This window comes from Homo sapiens, chromosome 11 (assembly GCF_000001405.40).
Source record: "Homo sapiens chromosome 11, GRCh38.p14 Primary Assembly".
Classification (NCBI taxonomy): domain Eukaryota; kingdom Metazoa; phylum Chordata; class Mammalia; order Primates; family Hominidae; genus Homo; species Homo sapiens.
The window spans coordinates 104990785-105015253 of NC_000011.10; the positions used below are offsets into that span (position 1 = coordinate 104990785).

The following is a 24469-nucleotide window of genomic DNA, read 5'->3' on the forward strand; positions in this document are numbered from 1 at the left end:
TCAAAAGATTACAAGGCAAAAGATTACAGGGACCATGTCTTTAAAATTAAAACTTTCAAAATATGTGTAAATACTTGCTAATGTGAGTATATGTCAACACTATTTACTTCTTTCACTGGATGTTAGGGAAAAAAGGAACGGGGTGGATCCTTCTGGGTAAAGGAAAATAGTTTCACTAAATTCTTGTCTTTATTTCAGAAAATGCCTGCCCTTCAAGGCAGATAAGAGAGTATTTTTTTAATATATTTTAAGTCTAATTTTCCCCTTTTAAGTCAAATTCTTCTTTTCTCTTTGGGTGACATTACTGATTATTATTATCTCCAATGGAAGATAGCTACATATATGAATGGAGGGAAAGAGAAGTCGTTTGGAAATGAAAGACTAACAGAAAAAGAACTCATATTATTTGAACCCAATTCATTTTTACTTTGATTCCTAGTTACGAATTCTAATTCTATCCAACCTTAGTTTTAAGAGTCTTGGCAAAGAATTGTAACACAGGCAATTTTGGCTTCCTGTATGCCATTCAACCTGCTGTCCATTCTGCAAGCCATCTTTCTTAATTATAAATCTGACTATAAATAACGCCCCTGTTTAATAATATTCTAAAATAATTTACACTGTCCCCAGGACAAATAATTACTCCTATATATTTCATCAGTACATCTAATCTTTTCAAACCATACTTCAACTTTTACATTGCAACCATACAATTTTTTTAATTCCCAAATTTGTCTTATCGTTTTGCACTCTCAATTTTGGTGCGTGATTTTTCCTCCCCCTTATAAAATTCTCTTTTTGATATAACAAATTTATCATAATAAAAGCATGCACACTTACATGCAAACATAAGTCTCTGTGTTCTGTTTTCCTGTCAATTTTTAACACCGTTAATAACTCAAATTAAACTCCTATTTTTCATTGTACCACCACTAGTCTCTAAATTGCTGGGAGTTCTCACTCCACTGTTGCCTGCACAACCCTGGAAGTATAAATTTGGAAGGTGAGGGGACAGAGGCTGACTTAAGGCTGCCAGTGATACTCCCTTCACTATTTCAAAAAGTCGCATAAGTGATCTCTTTTCTTCTCTCTCCAATTCTGTTCATGTGTCAATTGGGGTATTGTTTATCTATCACACTCACTTGGGTTTTTTTGTTTGTTAAATATACAAAAGACTGATACTTAAATCATTTTTTAATAATAAATATAGGTTTGCCACTAAAATTAAACAATAGAAAAGTTTGTAAAGTGGAAAAGGATTATCCACACTCTTTAATTTGACACAAGGTAACCCCAATTATATGTTTAGCTTGCATCTTTCTGAATTTTTTCTATGCTTTTGTAAAACACTTAATATATTACCGATTTTATTGATTTCCTTAATCATTGGCTTCCTAGTATCCTTGACCTTTGCTTCAACCCTGTAACAGTCTTATGACTTGGTTTTGGCCAACATAATGCAGTAGAAGGATCTCGTGCAATTCCCAGCTCAGGCTTTATGAAGCCTGGTGCTCTTCTTCCTCGTGGACACCTGAACCTAAATGAGGACGAGCCTGAGCCACATTGCTGGCTAATAAGACACATCATGTGGAAAAGAGCCCAGCTGCCCCAGCCAGCCAAGGTCATTCTAGACCAGCCATGTGCTTTCCAAACATATGAGAGATCCCAGCCTTTCAGTAAAGATGCCTACCCCATGCAGAGGTGATCTCAGACACATGGATAATCTCAGCAGAGTCAAGACCTACCTAGCTAACTGGTAACCTTGTGAACAATAGCAAATGCTTATTGTGTTAAACTACTGAGGTTTTGGGTGTTTTGATACCCATAAATAAATAACTGGCAGACACATATTTACCTATACCTTTTTTCCTTATAGCACCAGTATCATATATTATCAACAATTTGCTCCATTTGTTTAATCTTTGCTTCACAACATAGGACAAACCCTTTAAAAATTCAACACATTAAAATTCAATACTACCTGATTTTTAGAAATCTATAAATTATTAAAAGTGTCAATTCAATATAATTTTAAATATTTTGTCAAAGTAATACATTCATGAGACAGTCCATAGTACAGAAAAGAATACAATAAAAATCATATTTCCCAGTACAACTCTCCCCACCTTTAGTCCCACATACTAGAGGTAATTTCCTTCAATTATTTTTGTTTTGTTTTGTTTGGCAGTAACATTTGGAATTCTCAATAATGACTATTATACCTCTGTGTTTCCCGAAATATAGAACATAAACAATGCCATTGACTACCTGATATGAAAAATGAGATGCAGCTCACTTACATAGCCACATATCTGGTCTATTCTACCTAATATTTGATGATGTCATGATGTTCATACTTTTTATTGATTAATTGTGGAACAATAAATAATATATTTAATCCTAATTTCTTCTTTCATCAATGTTGCTCAGTAGTTAAATTTTCTCTATGTAAGTTGATTAATGTTGCCCTCATACCTTCTCACTTTCAATTATATCATTATATTTTTGCAATTTTTATCGTAGTAAAATGCCATAACAAAATTACAAGCTTAACAATTTTAAGTGTACAGCCAAATAGTATTAAAATACATTCATAATTTTGCACAACAATCACCCATCTACCTCCAGAATTCTTTCTATCTTGTAAATCTGAAACTTTATAACCATTAAATGACACTTCATTTTCTCCTGCCCTAGCACCTGGCAATCACCATTCTACTTTCTGTCTCTGTGAATCTGATAATCTAGGTACCTCATATAAGTGTGATCATATTGTATTTTTGTGTGTGTGAATGGCTTATTTTACCTGGCATAATGTCCTCAAAGTTCCTCTATATTTTAGCATATGTCAGAACTTCCCTCCTTTCTATGCTAAATTATATTTTATTATATCTATATACAATATTTTACTTATCCATTTTTCAGTCCATGGATACTTTCGTTGCTTCCACATTTTAGATATCATGAACAACGTTGCCATGAATATGGGTGTATAAGTGTATCTTTGAGACCCTGCTTTCAATTATTTTAGGGATGTACCCAAAGGTGGAGTTTCTGGATCCTATGATAATTCTAGCTTTAATTTTGTGAGGAACTTCCATACTGTTTTCCACAGTGGTGCCATTTGACATTGTCACCAACAGAGCACAGGGTTCCGATTATTCTACATCCCTGCAAACACCTGTTATTTTGTGTTTGTTTGTATGTTTTGATGGGAGTCATTCTAATGGGTATGAGGTGGTATCTTATACTTTTAACACCATCTTCTTTCATTCTATTGTTGGCGGTAAGTCACAGCCAGTCGTCTTCATCAGCCAAGTATAGATGTTACATGAGCCATAAAACTCGAAAATCTAGTTAGTTTCTTCCACTTCATTTTCACTCGTCCACCATTTTCATTGAAATTATATTGTCTATTAGAGAATCTAAAAAGATACAGTTCATACAATCTAAAAAGATACAGTCTTTACTTTTATTGAAATACCAAATATTGACTATGCAAGCTATACTGGTAAATGTGCTCTTTGATGTTGACAGAGGAGGGCTGGGCTGCCTGTGGTTTCCTGCAGAAGAGAGAAAGGACAGAAGGTCAAGATGGTTACCCCTCACTGCCTTCATCCCATCCTTCATTATGATTCTTCTTCCATCTTCTGCCATATGCTTTTGCCATTTCCCTCGACTTCCATCTGTGACCTCTGTGTCTATTTAGTGAAAAGTACTCAGGAATATCTTTGTAAAACCTAAGTTAAATTATGTCACTTCTCTTTTCCAAAGCACTGGAAGGGTTTCCTATCTACTCAGATAATATTTTTTTAAAGATTTACCATGTGATGTTCAAGCACATTGTGATGAGGCTCCTCACTGTTTCTCCTAATTTGTCTCTGTCAGTTCCCTCACTTGCATTCTCTTTTGGTCACACTATCTCATTGTAGTTCTTTTTAAACCTGTTCAGCATATTTCTGCCCCAGGGCATTTGCACTTGTATTCTGTGCTGGAACACCTCTCCTGCATAAGAACCACATGATTCACTCTCCAACTCTGTGCATTCTTTATTCCAATTTCATTATTTCAAGGCAGGTTTTCCTGAATAAAGTACCTATAGTTGAGCATGTATTTTCTACAGTCCCATAACTGTGGCTGAATGTCAGTAATGAGACAGCCAAGTAAAAAGGGCTCCCTGGCAGAACCTCCCACCAGACTGTGCACTGGGAAGAATGCACACTGGGGTGGAGCCTTGGGAAGTTCATGCCATTTGCAGCAGGGAGAAGCCTGGCCCCTCCTCTTCCTGGGTGGTACCTGGTATTCAATCTGCGAGGCAGGAAGGGCATTAGCAGGACTCTGGCTCTGTGAAGGGTCTGTTTCCCATTTTTTTCCTTTTCACACAATAAACCCTGCCCTCCTCACCTTTCAGATTGTCTGTGAGTCTAATTTCTCATGGTCGTGTGACAAGGACCCCATCTTTAGCTGAACTAAGGAGAAAGTCAACAACAGTAATGTGATATGTGCACTCAGAGGACCAAAGCCCTGCTTTCCCCATAGATAGCTCCTGTGTTTACTCTGTTTTGTTCAAGGTCTGATGCACTGTTTGGTAACTAAGTGTGGCAGGTGGGAGAGAAACAGAGAGAGAGACAAAGAGAGGGAGTGTATGAGAGATAAATGAACATAATTAATAATGGTAATATTTGTACATTATTATTTTAATAATTACTAACCTAGGACTTTCATTGTGTATTACATTTTGCTGCAATTTTCCTTACCCTTTGATTGATTATATAGTTGAGGGAAACTAAATGCATATAAGTAGAATAAAAAAGAGCAAATAAATACTCACCAGACTACATCAATAAAGAACACTAACTTGACCATATAAGCAGTCAGCTGTCATTGGTCATTGAACTTCACCACCGATATAGCTCTTTCATTTATTTCACCCTCCAACAACTCTCAATACTTACATTTTCAATTGCCAGGAAAGAGGTAGAAATCTCTTGTCAAGGTTGCTCGTTCTATGGTGGGCATCTGGGCTTTAGCCTGTGGAACTTCAAATGATTTCTGTACCTAAAAGAAAAAACAGTAGATGAGATATGAGGGATTTTGGGTTCTCAGAATGCATCTTACACCATGAACCAGGAAATGCCTGAATGAAGAGAGCTTCCAGGGTTGATAGGACCAAGCCCATGGATATTCCAACTCCTTAACACTGCTACTCTACCTCTTAGAATTGACACCCCATGTCATACTGTACACTTTACATCAAAATAAACACTGCATGCCTAGTCAAGGCTTTTCAACCTCCATTTTCTCTATTTTCCATTTTTGACCTACGGATGTGGAAATCAATTAAATATCCTTTGGGATATGCTCATGAGAACTGGATATGGAAGATTTAGTACTTTCAACCCCCACCAACGCTGATTCTTCAATTTAAGGAGAATTAAATCCCAGAATCTTGCTTTAAGGCCTGAACACTGAACAACTTTCATGCCCACACCACCATGCTGACCTCTGAAATCTTATGCATGGACTGATCAATGAGATCCTGCTTACCGTAAATCCAATATTTCTAGTTCTTTTCCCAGGAATACCCTCAAAAGTACAATGTCTAATTCCTAATCATCCAAAAGGATTTAACTTCCCAGTTCTCTATTCACAGAAACCCCATCTCAATTTATGGTACAATCTTCTTTAAACACCAGTGGTATATCTTCCTTTTCCCACAAGAGTTTTACTGTTCTCTATAATTTTTAATTTAGAAACAACCACACTTTCCTGTGTTAATACCAATCCTATTTTCCCTTAAAAAGAGAAGGAACATTTATCTATTCATTCATGCATCTATTTATTCAATATATATTAATTGAATGTCTGCTATATGTCAGGCATATTGAGGTGCTGAGCAAATCCCCGCCATCCTGAAGTTTGCATATTAGTGAGTAAATACAGGTAAAAAACAGACACATAAATAAACTATTAATATATGCTTAATGGGAGGAGGTAAGAACTGTGGAGAAAATAAAGTAGGAAGGATGGGGAATAAGGAATGTCCCAAGTTGGGCAAGGAGTAGCAAACCTTCCCTTCTGCCCTTTCCCATGGAAAGAGTGATTTCTTTTTTATTCCCTGTTACATGCCTTTATGAATTCTACCACAATCTGTAATTGCACATTTTTTTGTTAACCCATATTTTCAGTATCCATATCTCTCACAAAAGTGTGAGTCCTAGATAGTCTTAAGCCATGCAAGCCTCATTTACCCCTTTGTCATCAGGATGAAGCCCCTCACCTCCATCCAGTTTTTATTCATTTAGTAAATTAACAAAAATTATTTCAAAATATTTTCTATTCTCTGAATTTTAATAAGTTATAACCCAAAATAGGAAGCTTATAGCTGATATTATTTTGTTTTACTTTGCTCTTCTTCTGGGATATATTGACATTTTCTTTCTCTAAAGCAGATTTTAAACACCTGAATGACAGAAATCAGGTGCCATACTACTTTTGCTTGCCTGAAAAACTGTGTCATTTTTATTCGATTAGTGAATAATGATAAATTCTTTCTGAGCAAATAAGTAAATGACTAGAAAAGGAAATGGAAGCTTACCTTCCGAAATATTTCCATTAGGTGGCAGCAGCAAGAATATTTCTGGAAGCATGTGATGAGTTCCGTAATGAAGATGGAGCCCCTTGTGCGGTCTCTCCAGGACACGTTATCTATGATGATACAGCCTGGTATGCCTTGGGCTACGACTTTCACTATGTTTTTGTTTATATTTTTGTTTTTGCATAGCTTGAGAATTTACTTGATAGATTTATGGAAATCCCTTATAACCAAACATTTACTTAGGTTTCACACAGAGGAAACAGAAAAGCTGGCAAAGGTTGAACAAAAAAGACAGCTTGTAAGTATTGCAAGAGATTGCATAGTGATTGTATTTTGATTCTTGGAACTAACTTTTTATTATGGACCTCATGTTCATTCACTTTGCTTAGAAAAGGGGACTTGAGAAATAACTGGAATTCTTTCACTTTACAAAGGAAAGAATAGAAGCTCAGAAGGATGAATAAACTTTTAGGTTCAGTGAGGAAGCAACAAAAAACTACCGTCGGGCTCCAAGATTGTTTACAGATTGCACCATGATGTCTTTCACCATAAAATAAACAAAATAGATGAACACATCCAAAGTTTCAGTTATAGAAGATTAAAATATAGAAAAATACTGTATAATATGGTGCCAATAGTAAATAATACTGTCTTATATACTTAAAAATTTGCAGAGAGTAGATCTTATGTAAATTATCCTTATCACACCCTTGCAGAATGATGATAATAATAAATAGAGAGCTGGAGGAATCTTTTGGAGGAGAGATGTTTACAGCATAGATTTGGGTGATGATTTTAGGGGTGTGTACTAATCTCCAAACTTATTGAGTTGCATACATTAAATATGTACAGTTTTCATATGTCAGCTATGCCTCCATAAAGTGGTTTAAAAATAAGACTTGAAAATTTACAACTTGGAAAGAGTAAAATAGAAAGCCCTTTAGGATGATTACCTAGAGGTGAAATACAAACGACTGTTTCCTGTAATTAGACCTAATTAGCTCCACCCTAACATTTCTTACCTTTTTTAAAGCTCATTCACATTTTTATCTGGACACTTAATAACATTGCTCTTTGTAGGATCAAGTGGGATATATGTAGAAGAGGGCTTGAAGTTGATCGTTTGGAAAGACAGCCAGTACTGGGATCCATAAAACTTCTATTCAAAATGTTAAATGGATTTATTAAAAAAACAGCATCCATCATCTATGTTTACATGGTGTGTGGCGAATGGGGTTCCTTGTATTGTATTGCTTTAATATTTGGTATGCCTTTGACTGTAAAGTGTAACACTTATAATAAAAGTACAGTTTTTTAAAATGTGTGTGTGGGAGGGGGAAGGAATCTATTCTCACAGCACACATAAGATCATGCAAAATATATAGAGAGCACACACCATTCTCTCAGCTCATTGTTGCATAGGGCCTATCTTGATTTCATAGAATCATTCAAAGGTGGCCTCAGCACCCCCAAATTTTTGACTGTTACTAAAAGACACATACGTGGTGTTGAAGAACAGAAAGCAATGAAGTCCTTCTCCTCGTGGATCTTGCAAACAGAATCTGCCTCCAGGTTCTCAGATGACTGTGAAGAGATGAGTGCCAAGGATGCTGGAGAGTCTCTGACCCAGAGTTCCCCATGTTTTTCTGTAGAGACATCAACTTTCTTTTTTTTTTATGTTACTTTAAGTTCCAGAATAGAAATGCAGAACGTGTAGGTTTGTTACATAGTTACGCATGTACCATTGTGGTTTGCTGCACCTATCATATAGGTTTTAAGCCCACATGCATTAAGTATTTGTCTTAAGGCTCTCCTTCCCCTTGTCGCCCACCCCCCGACTGGCCCCGGTGTGTGATATTCCCCTCCCTGTGTCCATGTATTCTCATTGTTCAACCCTCACTTATAAGTGAGAACAAGTGGTGTTTGGTTTTCTATTCCTGTGTTAATTTGCTGAGGATGATAGCTTCCAGCTTCATTCATGTCCCTGCAAAGGACATGATCTCATTCCTTTTAGGGCTACACAGTATTCCATGGGATATGTGTACCACATTTTCTTTGTCCAGTCTATCTATCATTGATGGACATTTGGGTTGGATCAAGAGACATCAACTTTTTATACACTGATGTGCCTCACTTAGCATGGCTATCACAATTGCCCACCTTGTTATTTTTCAGTGTTCTTTCTAACTAATTTCATACATACATACAGACCCACACACATGCAAACACACACACACATTTTGCTTTGTCTCTAGTGTCATTCAACAATGTGTAAATTAATAGTGAATTTATCATGTCATTACCAGTTTTCAGTTAAATTATTGCTGCTTTCTTAAAGAAACAAAACAAAATATACATCCCAATAGTCATGAGGTAATTGGAAGTCAGGAATAAAAAGAGGGAGAGAGAAGATTGACTTAAATCCCCTCAAGTTTCCTTAACTCCCAACTCATTTTCCCTTCAATAATTGTGAATAAATAGGGTGCTTGTATCACATAATAACTTCAGTTTCAAGTGCAAATTCTTCAGAAACCACATAATGTCAACATGTCTGTAAATCATTTACAAATCAAGCTATCATGTAAATGATTCCATTTCAAAGTTTGAATATTTCTGTTTAACTTTGATTTAGGGATTCTGATGATCTCCTTCACCACTTCCTTCACCACTATCACCGTGGATAAAATTGTACAGAAATTTCTCCACTGATGAGACAATTTCTCATTATATCAGCCCCTTAGGTAGAGTTTCTTCATAATTCAATGTACTTTATTTGCACTGGATGGGGTCTAACATTGTTTCCCCTAAATATAAACCAAACATCACAATCCTCTGCATACACCTTCAAAACTGTTAGATGTTCAGCCTCAGCACTCACCACCTCTGCAGGCCTGGACAATGATGACCTTGGGTTTGTCCTTTAGACTGAGGCAGTTGCGGTTGTTGAATATCTGGAAGATGGTGTCATAAAGCAGCACATCCGGTTTTTTCTTTTTATGCGCAGTTCCGCAGATTCCCTCTAGGATGCCATGAGACATGAGTACCAAGAACGTGCTGTCAGAGGACTTGTGCTCTGGTCTGGCAGCAAATGCCCTCAGCACTGACTCCATATCCTATAAAAGAGCAATGTCTAACTTCAGTCAGAGAAGCATCACAATTAATAGGACCTCCTAGATTTACCATGAGCGAAACAAGAAACATATGTAACATCCGGGTCGTGGTGCTTCACATAGCGCTTACTCAGTCATGACAGCAGTTTTATGTTTTTTTGTTTTGTTTTTTTTTTCCTTTGTAATGGGGCTGTGGGTTCCTACTTTTTCTCCCTGCTGACACACCATACACTGTCTTCTTAATATATTGTATATTTTTATATGTTACTTATATTACTTTTTTTTATCTCAATCTTTTCTCTCCTTTCCTAACAAGAGTCATGTGTTATAAACGCATCACACCACTGTCCTTGTAAAACCCAACATACGTTGCTTAGAATAAAATCAATCTTCTGGCCTGACCATACTCATCCTTATACTATGTCTGTTCTGCTTCAATCTCTAGTCACACTGATCTGTTGTGCCTCACATGTGCCAGTTTCATTTTCAGCTCAGCTCTTTCACAGGTAGCGCCCCCTACTGGGAAGGCGCTGCATTCTCATCTTCCCAGAGCCATTCCATTCCTTCCGGTAGTGCCGTCCAACTCCTGTGTTCTCTCCCCACAGAGGCTTTTCTGGACCAACCCAAAAACATCGCACCCCATCCAACATTCTCTCTCATGTTTCCTTTTTGCTTACTTTGGATTCTCTTGTTATTCTTATATAGACACATACACACACTCATTATCTGAAATTGTCCGGTTTCGTTTATATTGTGAGATTTTACCTCCACTCTAACCTAGATCCTTGCAATTTGAAACTTCTGGTATCATTTACAGACTTATCCACAGTATCAGGAAAAGCTCTTGGCCCCAAAGTTTGGATTTAATATTTGTTTTAAGAGTGCATTCCTGGGCCGGGTGCGGTGGCTCACGCCTGTAATTCCAGCACTTTGGGAGGCCAAGGCGGGCAGATCACGAGGTCAGGAGATCGAGACCATCCTGGCTAACAAGGTGAAACCTCATCTCTGTTAAAAATAGAGAAAATTAGCCGGGCGTGGTGGCACGCTCCTGTAGCCCCAGCTACTCGGTAGGGCAGGAGAATCGCTTGTGGAAGGTGAATGTTGCAGTGAGCCAAGATCACGCCACTACACTCCAGCCTGGGCGACAGAGTGAGACTTGGTCTCAAAAAATAAATAAAAATAAAAATAGAGTGCCCTCCTGCCTAAAACACATTACTCTGTGATTTTATGTGGAATCTTGGGGCTACATCCCAATCACCTGATCTTATTGGAACTCAGTAACAATTGCGAAAATACATGCCAATCATATTTTGTCTAGTTTTATGGAGTTGAGGGTATTTGAGGCTCAAAAGAGACACTGATTTATGTGTTCAATAATTTCATTTGCTAGTGCATGTGCGCATGTACACACACACACACACACGCACACGAACCCAGAGGTTGTTAAACCTTGTTGAACTTCTATAAAGCTAACTAATTATTAGAAGAATCTGTGTTGCCTATGGATGAGTGTGAGATGGCTTAGGGGTTCTTACCCTGGCTGTGAGATTCTTTTCGTCAACCACAGTGTAGCCCAGGCCTTGAAGCAGCCTTTTCATCCCCACGATGTCATAGTGAGCCCCATTCCTTGCAGGCAGGTGATCAAACTTTGTATTGCATATGATGAGAGCCAGGCGTCTGCGGTCCTCTCTCTTTTTTATTGGATAGATCTGCAGGAGATGGAGATGAAGCAACTTTGATTACCCGAGTCTCTTTTCAACCCCCATATGCCTCACAATTTTGCTTTTTTAAGACCTCATGCAGCTGCCACCTTCCCTAACCTCTATCAGAAGACACTGCCTTCCTCTCTCTCAAGAGCCCAGAGCAAGAACCAGGACATATCTGGAATGATCACTCTAGAATCTTGAGGAAACTAGAATAATTCCTACCCCCTTCCTTCTCCTTTTTCTTCTCCACCTACTCAAACATTTCTTATATTTAGGTTCAAATCAAATTTCATATAAACCAAGAGGTGTTGTCATCGGCTCCAGTAAAAATAAATATAGCAAATTTTCTTTGCCTTCCGTATTATGATTATTTTGGTACTATTTTAAAAACATAAACTTACAATGATTTTCAAGATTTAATTATACTTTTCAAATATATTTTATGTCTAGGCTTTTCAACTGGGTATAAACAATTACTACTCAGCCATGTTATAAACATTTTATTTTGTGGCTTTATCTGAAATTGTAATAAATCCCAAATTGATACAAAAATCAATAAATGATAAAAAAGAGAAAGCTACATTTTATCATGGATTGAATGAGCACTGGTATTTGTTTGAAGCCATATGAACCCTTGCCTGCTGAAAGCATCTATCATAAAGGTTACCACTGTCACCACCCCCTCATCATTTAGTGCTTTAAGTATTTGTGCATTTATGGCTGGCACTGTGGTTCCCGCCTGTAATCCCAGTGCTTTGGGAGGCCAAGGCTGTGGATCTCATGAAGATAGGATTTGGAGAACAGACTGGACAACATAGGGAGACTATATCTCTACAAAAATTAAAAAAAAAATCAGCCTGGCAAGGTAGTGTGCATTTGTAGTGCTAACTACTTGGGAGGCTGAGGCTGGAGAATCTCTTGAGCCCATGTGTTCAAGATAGCAGTCAGCTATGATCACACCACAGCACTCCAGGCTGGGCAACAGAGCAAGACCCCATTTTTAAAAATGTGCATTGCATTTAATGAAAGCAATTGTTTCTCTCTTCTTCCCCATTTCATACAGAGAGCACAGCACCTCATCATGATTTTTTTTACACAGTCTCAGGAATTCTTCACGAGGACAAAGTTTGAGTATATTTGTAGATTCTGCTGACTCAGGTGGTCCAGCCTCGATTTGCAGAAGAGCTGTGGGATATCACAAAATATAAATTATGGTTTCTGCCTCTGTGACCCAATTTATCACCTAAGAACTTTGAGAGAGAGAGAGAGAGAAATCCTAGGAAAAAGACTCTTTATATTTAGGGGTTATAGCTGTACCTAATTTCCAGCTTAAGGAAATGTGTTGTGAGAATTCCCTGATAGAGAAAGCAGACTCCCACAACCCCACCAAGAAGAAGATGCAACTATAGATTCCGATTATTCTGGAGAAAAAATCTTGATGATTTAAAGTTAAATTTGGCTTTTCTATATTCAGAAAAACAGTTTGATTTTTCCAGTGGTTTTACGCTAGGGTACTCATTCATTTATTTGGACTTTCTGCTGTGTCTGGGCAAGAGTGTGCTAAGTAAATACTTGTCAGAGTGCTATTTGAAATACAATGTGAGTTCCATATGCAATATTAAATTTTCTAATATCACATTTACAAAAGGTAAAAATAATTGTAATAATATATTTATTTAACATAATATATTCAAAATATTATTATTTCAACATATGTCACTAGCCACAAGTTATGTCTGGTGGCTACAAAAGTGGATGGGACAACATCCCATTTTGGATTGATAGTCCCCTCCTAGTTCACACCACATACAGATACATGTATACAACAAACGTTTGATAGAATATTGAATCCTGTACCATCCTGGTATTTTTTAAGCAACTTTTATGTGAATTAATAATTATTCTAGAAGAAATAAGCTTCAGTTATCTTTCAACAAATTGTGAAATCACCTATTTATGAAGAAAGGTTGTCTAGTGACAACACAGTACACAATAGTACTGTGTCCAAGGTCAAAGGGACAAATATTTGTATGAGATTCTGACGTAACTCTGAACATCTTGTCTCTAAACTGCTGGACAGCCAACACTGTCCAACTCATATTTTATAATGTGAGGAAATAATACATCTGTTTTGGATAAGTTTGCTTCTGAGTAATTCTGATCTATCCCCTTGTGAAATGTAATATTGATCTCTTTTGACCGATATTGTGCAAAAAACTGGGAGATTATTGAGCCCTCCTTCTGGAAAAGAAAAAGGAATTTATGTATACAAATTCAAAGAAGAATTTAGTAAGATCTAATAACAAGATTTCTTTTCATGAAAGAAATGGACAAGTATACTTTTATGTTTGGTTACGTGACCCAACCAAGACATAGGAATCATGAGTAAAGTAATATTGTTCTGTATAAAATTTATATTGTTTTTAAATATTTCATGTATTTTTTATATATCAATCATTTGTTTCTCTTCATTTTTAATAATATTTTAAAGTAAATGTCTTGCTAAAGAGTATGATAAAAGCGTGAGTTCTGGGAATGCAATAAGTTCTAAGTGTGTAAGGAAACCATACCTTCTAAGCATCTCTTTTTTCATAGATTAAACAGTGACAGATGCTTTTTCTTCTCATTTCAGAAAAGTCTGCCAATGTGAAGACATCTAGGGTCCTGGGATATTACTGGTCTGAGGGTATGTTTTCCTGTTTAAAGGTTTGGAGAACTTCCAACTTAACAGTCATCTCCTAAGACTTTTATGTGTCTGTGTGTAGAACAGGTGTTTTCCAGTAAAATTAGAAATTAGACAGAAATTCTATCTTATATCCAGTAGTAGAATTAGTACAAAAATATTATTTTATTACAAAATAATAAATATTATAGTGCAGTCTCCTTCCAAAGAGAGTTTCTATTAGCCTGGCAGTGCAACAGGAAGTAATGTGGAAATCAGGAGTTTAGATAAAAATTTCAATTTGAGTCTTATCTATTATCTAATGAAACAGGAATCTCTCAGGAATCTGCTCAGGAATCTCTTAACATTGACACAACAAGAAAGGGAGTAGTGGAGTGGTACAGGATCAGTAAAGCAATTTCCCACAGCACATAGGGACTTAGGTGGTTATCTCCTGACTAAATCAGATCATCGGTATATAGTGTGTATATATATATGTGTGTGTGTGTGTGTGTGTGTGTGTGTGTGTGTGTGTGTAAACAGTTAAATAACAAATGAATAGCTAGGATTCTTCTTATCCTGCACTCCAGAATCCAATGCTTTGTTGGAAACCCTCATAATTATAACCATATCCAAAGGCCTAGCCAAGGCCTGTACCTCTTCTAATAGCCCAGCCCACCCAGCTTCCTGGTCTGCTGTGCCAGTGTACTCAAAGTATTCTGGGATCGATCATTCTGGAGAATACAAATGCAGATAGAGTGCAGAGAGCCACTGGACCCCTCCTGCAGGGATCTGCAGCTGCCTCCTTCTTGCCACAGCCTCTGCTGATCAGATAGGCTAATTCAGTTTAGAGTTTAGTGCTCATCATATATGATATCTGGGATTGCTAAAATCATTTTGAAGCCCGTATTGCTACAAATATGATTCCTATTTGTTGCATTATCTCTGATTTTTAAAAACCGATATTTTTTCCTCATGCCATTCCAGGTTTGAGGAAAAGGAAAATACTTGCAAAAGACCAGTTTAAATATTAATAAGAATGCATCCTTGCCTAAAATCTTGGACAACTATACTAGCATGTGGTTTCTGTTGAGGGGAAACTTTCCCCACAGAGAAGGGGAGTTTATTTTGTATAGTGAGGTTTGAACAATTTATGTTGCTTTATGTTCATGATCGTATGTGATTATTGGTAAGCTGTAGTAGTTCAGGGCTGAAGATTTCAGTTTAAAGTCTATGGCAAATTGAGTCCTTCCCTGGAAAACATGGATCTGAGAACATTTAGGCTCTAATAATACTGATAATTCAATCCGTGTCAAAAGTTTTGAAATGTTATAAAATTTAAACATTTTATAGTAGTTCCCTGATCATAATTTTGTAACTCACAGAAATGAGTAAGCATTGGAAAATTCCAATTTGTAGCGCCCAAATAATAATTAAGAAAGCACTCTTTATTGCATGCGTATACTTCATTTGTTTATTCATCACACATTAATTAGGTATCTGCTATGTGCCAGGATCTCCATTAATTACTCTTATTAATTGGTGAAGAAACCAGTTACATTCTGGTAGCAGAAACTTGGTGCATGTTACTTCTTTTTACTGAAGCGGAAAAGGGTTAAAAGTGGAGCACGTTTATTCTGGAAAACAAAGCATTTAATTTTAGCTGTATTCATTTTGTGATGCCAGTGAAACACTGGAGCAGAATTGTTTTATATGCCGCTAGAGCTAAATGAGTCTGGAGCTCAGATGAGAGAGTCCTGAATGAGAGCTGGTATCTTGGAAGTTGTTGGCATGTGGTGCCTGGCATTACAATGTTTCTGGCTGTAGACAGTCTTGTGAGAAAGTGCTGGAATTGCCCACATTTCACAGGTGGTAAGACTGATGACTAGGGAGAATGGAAGGTCAAGAAACTTGCATGAAGCTGCATAGTTCACATGTGACAGAATCTAAGTTTGGGTTTAGGTATCTCCTACTAAAAAATCTCCCTTATTAACTATTTCTGTGCACAGTCTAAACACAAGGACACAGCTTTTTGGCTAATTGGAAATTTGATCCCGTCCCATAAAAGACAAGGTGGTCTCTAACAGGATGATGACATGTTTACTGAAAATGAGAGTTTAGAAATGAAACTGTAGGTAGATCACAGATAACACTGCATGGGCCTTGGAGTTGAATATATTCTGGAAAATTTAACATATTTATCGTGTTAGATGCAACCTTACGTTTTACACTGGTGATCTTTTGGTCCATATTGAGAAGTGTTTGGGTAAACATTTGATGAGCCACGCGATTCTTTCGCAAAGAGTCTACCAAGATCAGGGCCTTGTCTTCAATTTTGGTATCATAATATTTTTTCTTTTCCTCTTCCTTCAATGTCAGAACATCGTGTTTTGCCAAATAATTAAAAACACCATGAAGAACATCTTTGCCCAGGTATTCCAACATCTTAACTGTTTTTTTTTTGTGGTTGTCTTCTGTCAGAAATAGAAAGACTCCTTTAACTATGGGCACAGCTTAAAGAGTTCTGCCTTCACCTAAGACATAACTCTGTAATATGAAACTCCTCTAAAAATACATTCTATTTTACCATGTCTCCAGCGAATAACACACATCTTTTTTTGCAACTGCAGAATTCTCTCACCTATCAAATTCATACCAGACTGTGCTTAGCAATTCATTTCCTCTTAAATTTGTTTTTATAGCTTTTCTTCTTCCTTCTGTGGCATTGGGAATAATGCTAATTTCCTGGTCACCTGCTGCTTTCATATTTCTCTTTCTCTTGCTCACAGCTCATGATGATGATAATTTACCTGAAATGGACACTCCCAGGACAGTCCATGCTCTTGTCTAGACTGTAAATACTACTAGACTATACAATCTTGCCTCTTTGCTGTATTTAGTTTCCTTGGGGAAAGCACTATATCTTTGAATTTGCATTTTTAGCACACATCCTATACCCACATCTTTGTGCTCATTAACATCTTTGTGCCCAAAATGCTTAAAAGTACTTAGCATGCTTGCTAAATACATGACTTAATGAACAAATGGATGACTGCACCCAGAGTCCTAATTTTTTAGCATCTTTTCCTCAATCAAAATTTGAAATTGAAAATAATATCATAACTACTCTAGCATGGTGAATTTATGTGACATCAGGTTAATCACTACACCTTAGCATAATTTGAATTTTTATTGGAAAATATAGATATCAAAGTGATAAATTTTTTTGCCTGGCCCTCTTCTAATTACTGCCAGTCATTGGTAAAGCAACCAGTTGCATTCTGGTGGGAGAAATTTGATATATATTAGTTTCTTTTACTAAAATGGAAAGGGGTTAAAGTTGGAACAAATTTGTTTAGAAGAAAAAGTGTTTAATTTTTAGGTAATCATTAGTTTAATGAAGCCAATGAAACACTGGAGCAGAATTGTTGAAAATACATCTAGAGCTAAATGAGTCTGGAGCTCAGAGGAGAGAGTTCTGGATGACAGCTAATATCTTGGGAGTTATTGGCATGTTGATGCCAGCCAACACAATGTTTCTAACCTTCCACAGTCTTGTGAGAAAGTACTGAAATTGTCCCCATTTCATAGATGGTAAGACTGATGATTAGGGAGCAAGAGAGGTTAAGATACATGCAGGAAGCCACACAGATTATTAGTAACAGAATCTAGATTTAGGTTTGAATATGTCTTACTACAAGCCTCTACTATTAATTATTTCCATGCACAATCTGAACCCAAGGACTCAGCCTTTTAGCCGATTGGAAACTGGATCCCACCCCACAAAAGACAAGGTAGTCCCTGAAGGAAAAATTATAGGTTTGGTGAAAATGATAGTTTCATAAAGGAAGGAGGATAGGGGGATCACAGAAGTCACTGCATGGGACTTATAATTGAACAGATTCTAAAAAATTGGAAATATCCATTGTAAAATATCCAGTCTTACTTTTTACACTGGTCGACTTTTGATCCGTATTAGGTACTAGGGTCTGGATAGATGTTTGTCCAGCCACGTTGTTCTTTAGCATGTGGTTTATCACGAAGTTATCCAATCCACTCTGAAGGATACCTTTGAACATAGCTTCAAAATTCTTACGCCTTTTTTTTTTGCCACTGTCTTCTATCAGAAATATAAAGACTCCTTCAACTCTGGGCACAGCTTAAAGAGTTTTGCCCTTGCTTTAGACAAAGCTCTGTAATGTGAAACACCCTTGAAAATACATTCTGTCTTACCATGTCTTCAACAAATACTCATTATTTCTTTGTACCTGTAGCATTCTCTCACCCATCAAATTCCTACCAGGCTGTGTTTAACAATTCATTGCCACTTAAGTTTGTTTTTTATAGCTTGTCTTTTTCCTTTCTGCAGCATTGGGCCTAATGCTAAATTCCTGGTCATCCATTGTATTCAGATTTCTCTCTCTTGCTCAAACTCATGATGACCTACCTGAAGTGTGTGCACCCAGGACAGTCCATTCTCTTGTCTAGACTGTAAATTATTCCTACTAGACTGCAGGATCTTTCCTTTTCTCTGTATTTAGCTTCCTTGGTGAATTAACTATATCTTTGAATTTGTGTTTTTTAACACACAAGCTATACCCAATTGTGCTAATTAACAATTTTCTGCTCAAAATGCTTAAAAGTGCTTAATCTGCTTGCTGAATACATAAGTAAACATCCAACTTAATCATTAAGTGGATAAATGCATCTAGATACCTAATTCTTCAGCGCCTTTTCTCAAACCAAAATTTAGAATTGAAAATATTTAACAAATATTATGGTAGATTAATATAATACTGAGTTAATGTATTACTCCTTGGTATAATTCAGATTTTTACCAGGAGATATATATATACACACATATATATATATATATATATATATATATATATATATATACACACACACACGTATATATATATATATACACACGTATATATATATATACACACACATATATATATACACATATATATATACACATATATATACACATATATATACATATATATACACACATATATATACACATATATACATATATATACACATATATATATACACACATACACACACACACACACATATATATATCAAAGTAATAAATCACTTATTTCAATACAAGAGATATGATTTAAGCAGGTTGTATGTGGAAAAGCCAGATATCTCCTCTCTTCTGTTAACTCTATAAAGATCATTATCTAGTTTATCTAAATATAAGGATAGCTTTCACACAAAATACATTTTCTAAAGAAAACATGTCAGGACATTGAACAAAATTTTGGCCTAGAAGCACCAGACTCATTTTCCAGGTTATCTTGAGTTCATATGCCAATAATGAACCAACCATTATTAGAAAGACACATGGAAGTTACAAAACAGGACAAAAAGTTACATTTAATAAATGTAACATCTCCTATGTATTTTTTGTGATTAAAAAATGAATTCACATAAAGCAATGACAATCATCATTATATCATGAGTAATTATCATTATTATTAACAATATCAGTAATTATCATTATTATAATGATTTAATCAGTAATTATCATTATTATTATACTCATATAATAAATCAGTAATTATCATTATTATACTGATATAATAAATCAGTAATTATCATTATACTGATATAATAAATCAGTAATTATCATTATTATTATTATATCATATCAGTAATAATCATTATTATTTACAAGTCTCTCTTCTAAGTACTTTACAAATAGTAGTATACTGGACTCTCACAATAAACCAGTAGAATATTTATTATTTTATCAATTTTATAAGTCATTTAAATAATAGGCTGCCCTAAATCACATGAATTAGGGTTCAAATCCTATTTTTACACCACATTCCATAGAGTTAACCATGACAGGCTTTCAGTAATAATAATATATGTTGAACCCCCATGAGGTCAAGTGCTTTACTGAAATTTCACAAAAACTCCATGCAAAATGTATATTAACCTCTTTTATATGGAAAAGGAAACATATACAGATAAGTTACTTAAGAAATTGAGTGTAATCCTGTGAAAAGAAAATGAAGTATACAGTAACTCCGGAGCAGGAATAGAAGTACAAGTGATCAGAATCCAGAGCCCCAACTCTTAAGTCATGAAACTACATTACATGATAGTTGTTGAAGAGCTTCTTAAGAGAACACAGATAAGATGCTTAAGGAACTCAGAAAAGATGAGAAAATTCCAGGAGGAGAGTTTACAGAGGCTTCTTAGAAGACAAGACAAAAACGTTGGTTTTAAATGCAATGTAGATGTTGGAACAGGGAATGTGAAGATTTGCAAAGAGTACACAGATTAGTTAATGGAATGTCTACTCTGCCTGAGTTCTGAAGTTCTATTTAACTTACTTGCATGCTTAGTAAATGAATATAGTTTTGACTGAATGAATATGTGGAGACATGTGAAAAGCAATTAACCTAAAGAGGTTTACAACACAATAAATGCCACTTATAGAAAACACACAGTTAACATCATACTCAATGGTGAAAAGATAAAAGCTTTTCTTCAAAGATTAGGAAGAGGACAAACACACCCACTTTCACCGCTTCTATTCTAGAAATCCTAACCAGAGGAATTAGACAACAGAAAGAATTTAAAGGCATCAAAATAGGAGAGGAAGAAGTTAATGTGTCCTGTTTATGAATGACATGATCTTACATATATTAAGAAAACCCTAAATGCTCCATGAAAAATCTGTTGGAACTAATACACAAATGCAGTAAAGTTGAAGGATACAAAAACAACATGCAAAAATTAGTATCATTTTTATAACAACAAACTAAAAAATTGGATGATAAAAATCTCATTTATAATGGCTATAAAAAAATTTCATGAAATAATAAGGAATAAATGTAACCAAAAAGTTAAAGATGTATATACTCATAACTATAAAACATTGACAGAAGAAAATGCCTGAGATTCACAAAAATCAAAAGATATCCCGTGTTCATGAATTGGAAAATATTACATTATTATGTCTATACTACCCAAGAAATCTATGAATTCAATACAATTCCTATTAAGCCTCCAATGGCATTTTTTACAGAAATAGGAAAATCAACCTTAAAATTCATATGGAATTATTTAAAAATTCAAATAGCCAAAGCATCCTTGAGTAAAGAACAAAACTGGAGGCAGCACACAACCTGACTTTAAAACATACTGCAAAGTTATAATAATCAAACATAGTACTGGCATAAAAGCAAACACAGAGATCAATGGAATAAAACAAAAAGGCCAGAAATAAACCCAGTTATTTACAGTAAATTTATTTTTGACAAAGTTTCAAGAACAGACAATAGGCTAAGGACACTTTCTTCGATAAATGATGTTGGGAAAATTAAATATCCAAGAGCAGAAGAATGAAAACGGGCCCTTATCTGCCACCATATACAAAAATCAACTCAAAATGGATTAAAAACATAAGCCTAATAACTGAAACTTTGAAACTACTACACAAAAACGTGGAAAAGCTTAATGACACTGGTATAGACAATGATTTTTGGATATAACACTAAAAATATGGGAAAAGAAAGCAAAATTAAGATATGAGATTACATCAAACTAAAAAGCTTTTGCAAAGCCAAGGAAACAACAGTGTGAAGAGATAACCAACAGAATAGGAGTAAATATTTGAATCCATATGTCTGATAAGATATTAATATTCAAAATATATGAGAAACACAATTCAATAGGAAGAAAACAAATATTACAAAATGAGCCAAGGACCAAAATAGACATTTTTCAAAGGAAGATGCATAAATGGACAACAGGTCTATACAAAATGCTCAACATCTCTGATCACCAGGGACATTAAAACCACAATGAGATAATGCCTCACACCTGTTAGAATGATTAGAATGGGTATTATAAAAAAAAAAGATAACAAGTGTTGGAAAGGATGTAGAGAAAAAGGAACTCTTGTATACTGTTGGTGAAAATATAAATTAGTACAGTCATAATGAAAAACAATAGGAAACTCCTCAAAAAGTTAAAAATTAAAATGAATTAAAAATGTTAAAAATGATGTAGCAGCCCAAATATTTAGTATATATTTTAAACATTAAGTCAGTGTGTTGAAAAGACATATACACTTCCATTGTGATTGCAGCATTATTCACAATAGGCAAGATATAAAATCAACCTAAGTATCTGTAGATGGATGAATGGATGGAGAAAGTATCATAATGCAACAGTATTCAGCTTTAGAAAAAAGAAAGAAATCTTGTCATTTGTGACAACATTGATTAACATGGATAACATTACATTAAATAAAATAAGCCAAGCTGGGCACCAAAAAACAAATACTATATGATCTCACTGATGTGTAGACTCACAAAAGTTAAACACATAAAAGCAGAGGGTAGAATGGTGGTGATTAGGAGGAGGCAGGAAGTTTGGGGAGATGTTGATCAAAGGAAACAACATTTCAATTAGATCGGAGAAGTAAGTTTAAGAAATCTATTGCACCACATAGTGACTATAGTCAATGATGAATTCTTGAAAATTGTTTGACAGTGTAAATTTTAAGTGCTGTAATCACAAAAAAAGATGAGCATATGAGGTAATGCATATGTTATTTAGCTCTTTAGGCATTCTACAATATATATTTCAAACATCATTTTGTACATAAGTACATAAAATATTTATTTGCCAATTAAATAAATAAAATAATATTTATAAAAAACAATTCAAGACATTTGGCTTGAGAGCCTCTTTTCATAATCTATAAATTCTCATAGCATCAATTATAAGTTTAAAATAATAAATAAATGACTCAAATTTATGGATCAGCCCAGATGTGGATCCCGTATGGAAACCCATACGTCCAAAAATGAGACGTCACTTAAAATACTCCCACAACCTCATTCAATTGAACTTTTAAAATTGAACTGCTAATTTTCTTCTATTTCCATCCTTCATTTGCTCCTCCATATAGTAAAAAATAATACCTAACTTCCAAGTGCGGGAAGGCAGCAAAACCTGGTGATATTAAACTTCTTCTGCCTTCTGTATGTCTTATTCCCCAACTCAATTCACACTGCATTGATTTTATTTACTAAACATTTTCAGAATCTGACCACTACTCTTAATTTTAATTGTTCATTACTTCTATTCAGGCCAACACCCTTTCTTTCTGAATTACACCAAGAACCTTATAAACCTTCTTTTTGTCCTTTCTATTCTATTCTTCACAATAAAGAGTGTTCCTATATCTAGATTTGACCATGAAACGTCTCAGCTTATTCTAACCTAGGCCTTCTCATTCAGCCTCATCTTCTGATACTGTCCCCACCTTGCTCATTACAATTAAAATATTCTGCTCTTCATTTAATGTCTAGTCCAGTCTCCCACCTTCTCCTTGCTTCCTATTCTCCTATACTTTCTGTTCATTCTCCAAGTCTAAGACCAGATGGCATTTTTTTTTTTCAGGCAATCCTCTGATTCTCTGAGGGGAGACAATGTCAGAGGTACATGCCCCTAGGGCACCTTGTTTCTCTTTAGGGTAGCATAGTTTTTTACCTTTAATTGTGATTTCCAGCCTAATTCTCAGCATCCACCATTAGATTTTATGCTCTGTGAGGATAGGTGGCCATAAACTAGGCCTGCACTACTTCTGGCACTCAAGGGAAGTCTAATAATTATCTACTGAATCACTAGTTGAGTGAATGTAGAAACAAATGAATAAATTTTAGGTATGGCCCAACTCTTGAAGAATATTTAATAAAAGGTAAGTAAGTTTGATTTTATTTAATAGACAATAAGCACACACTGGAAGTTTTAAGCAGAAGGAAGGCATATTCATTCTGGAAAATTTGGTGAGCAAAAGTTTGTGAAAAATACTCTGCTAGTTGTGAGGGTACCATTTTGAGGAAATGTTCTTACATGTTCAAGCTTACAGTCAAGTGGAAAGATAGATATGCAAATACATCAAATAAAAAACATTGTAAGAATTTAAATAACGAGCAGATGCTCAAAAAAAAGCATGAGCACACTGTGTTTCAGGTAGAAGATAGCTGTCCAGAGAAGGGAGGGCTTGGCACTGAGACCTGAAAGACTAGGAGGAATTTGCCCCTTGGACAAGTGAGGGCTGGTCCCCTAACAGAGAGCAGTGTGGGAAGAAACACAAAGATTTTAGGGTGTCTAAAGTAATCAGGAAGCTGGGCTAGCTGGGCTTTAGAAAGTATTGAAGTGTGCAGCCAGGACTGAAGTGGGCGTGATGAGATAGGGCCATCATTTGAAGATGTTTGTTTGCAGAAAATTGACAGAACATTAGAGTGTTGAGTTTAAGAGTCAGGCCAACCTAGATTCACTCTTCTCAACAGACATTAGACCAAAAGAAAATTTCGTAGTCCTTTTCTAGACACCTTCCTCA

The 24469-nt window shown here is 35.6% G+C and overlaps 1 protein-coding gene across 6 annotated transcripts in view, besides 1 other annotated feature; it reads right to left on the bottom strand.

Annotated features, from left to right (window-relative positions):
* Positions 1-3458: 3458 nt before the first annotated feature.
* Positions 3459-24469, bottom strand: part of CASP5 (caspase 5) — a 28926-nt gene continuing 7915 nt past the window's right edge. Inside the window, exons 2-10 of one of the 6 annotated variants that reach the window (NM_004347.5) lie at positions 18023-18196; positions 16299-16550; positions 12490-12599; positions 11244-11417; positions 9477-9711; positions 8101-8244; positions 6599-6708; positions 4956-5058; positions 3459-3563 (exon numbers count right to left, since the gene is read on the bottom strand). In NM_004347.5, coding sequence (NP_004338.3) covers positions 4960-5058; positions 6599-6708; positions 8101-8244; positions 9477-9711; positions 11244-11417; positions 12490-12599; positions 16299-16550; positions 18023-18196 — 1298 coding nt within the window. In that variant the 3' untranslated portion in view covers positions 3459-3563; positions 4956-4959. Of the gene's footprint in view, positions 3564-4955; positions 5059-6598; positions 6709-8100; positions 8245-9476; positions 9712-11243; positions 11418-12489; positions 12600-16298; positions 16551-18022; positions 18236-24469 lie in introns of all 6 variants that reach the window. The other 5 variants (NM_001136112.3, NM_001136109.3, NR_024239.3 and 2 more) reach the window with 5 other exon arrangements.
* Positions 9498-9792: an enhancer, noted in NCBI's record as "tiled region #11455; K562 Activating non-DNase unmatched - State 13:Ctcf". NCBI's record gives its function as "activates a minimal TATA promoter and a strong SV40 promoter by Sharpr-MPRA in K562 cells {active_cell/tissue: K562}" and the evidence as "EXISTENCE:reporter gene assay evidence [ECO:0000049][PMID:27701403]".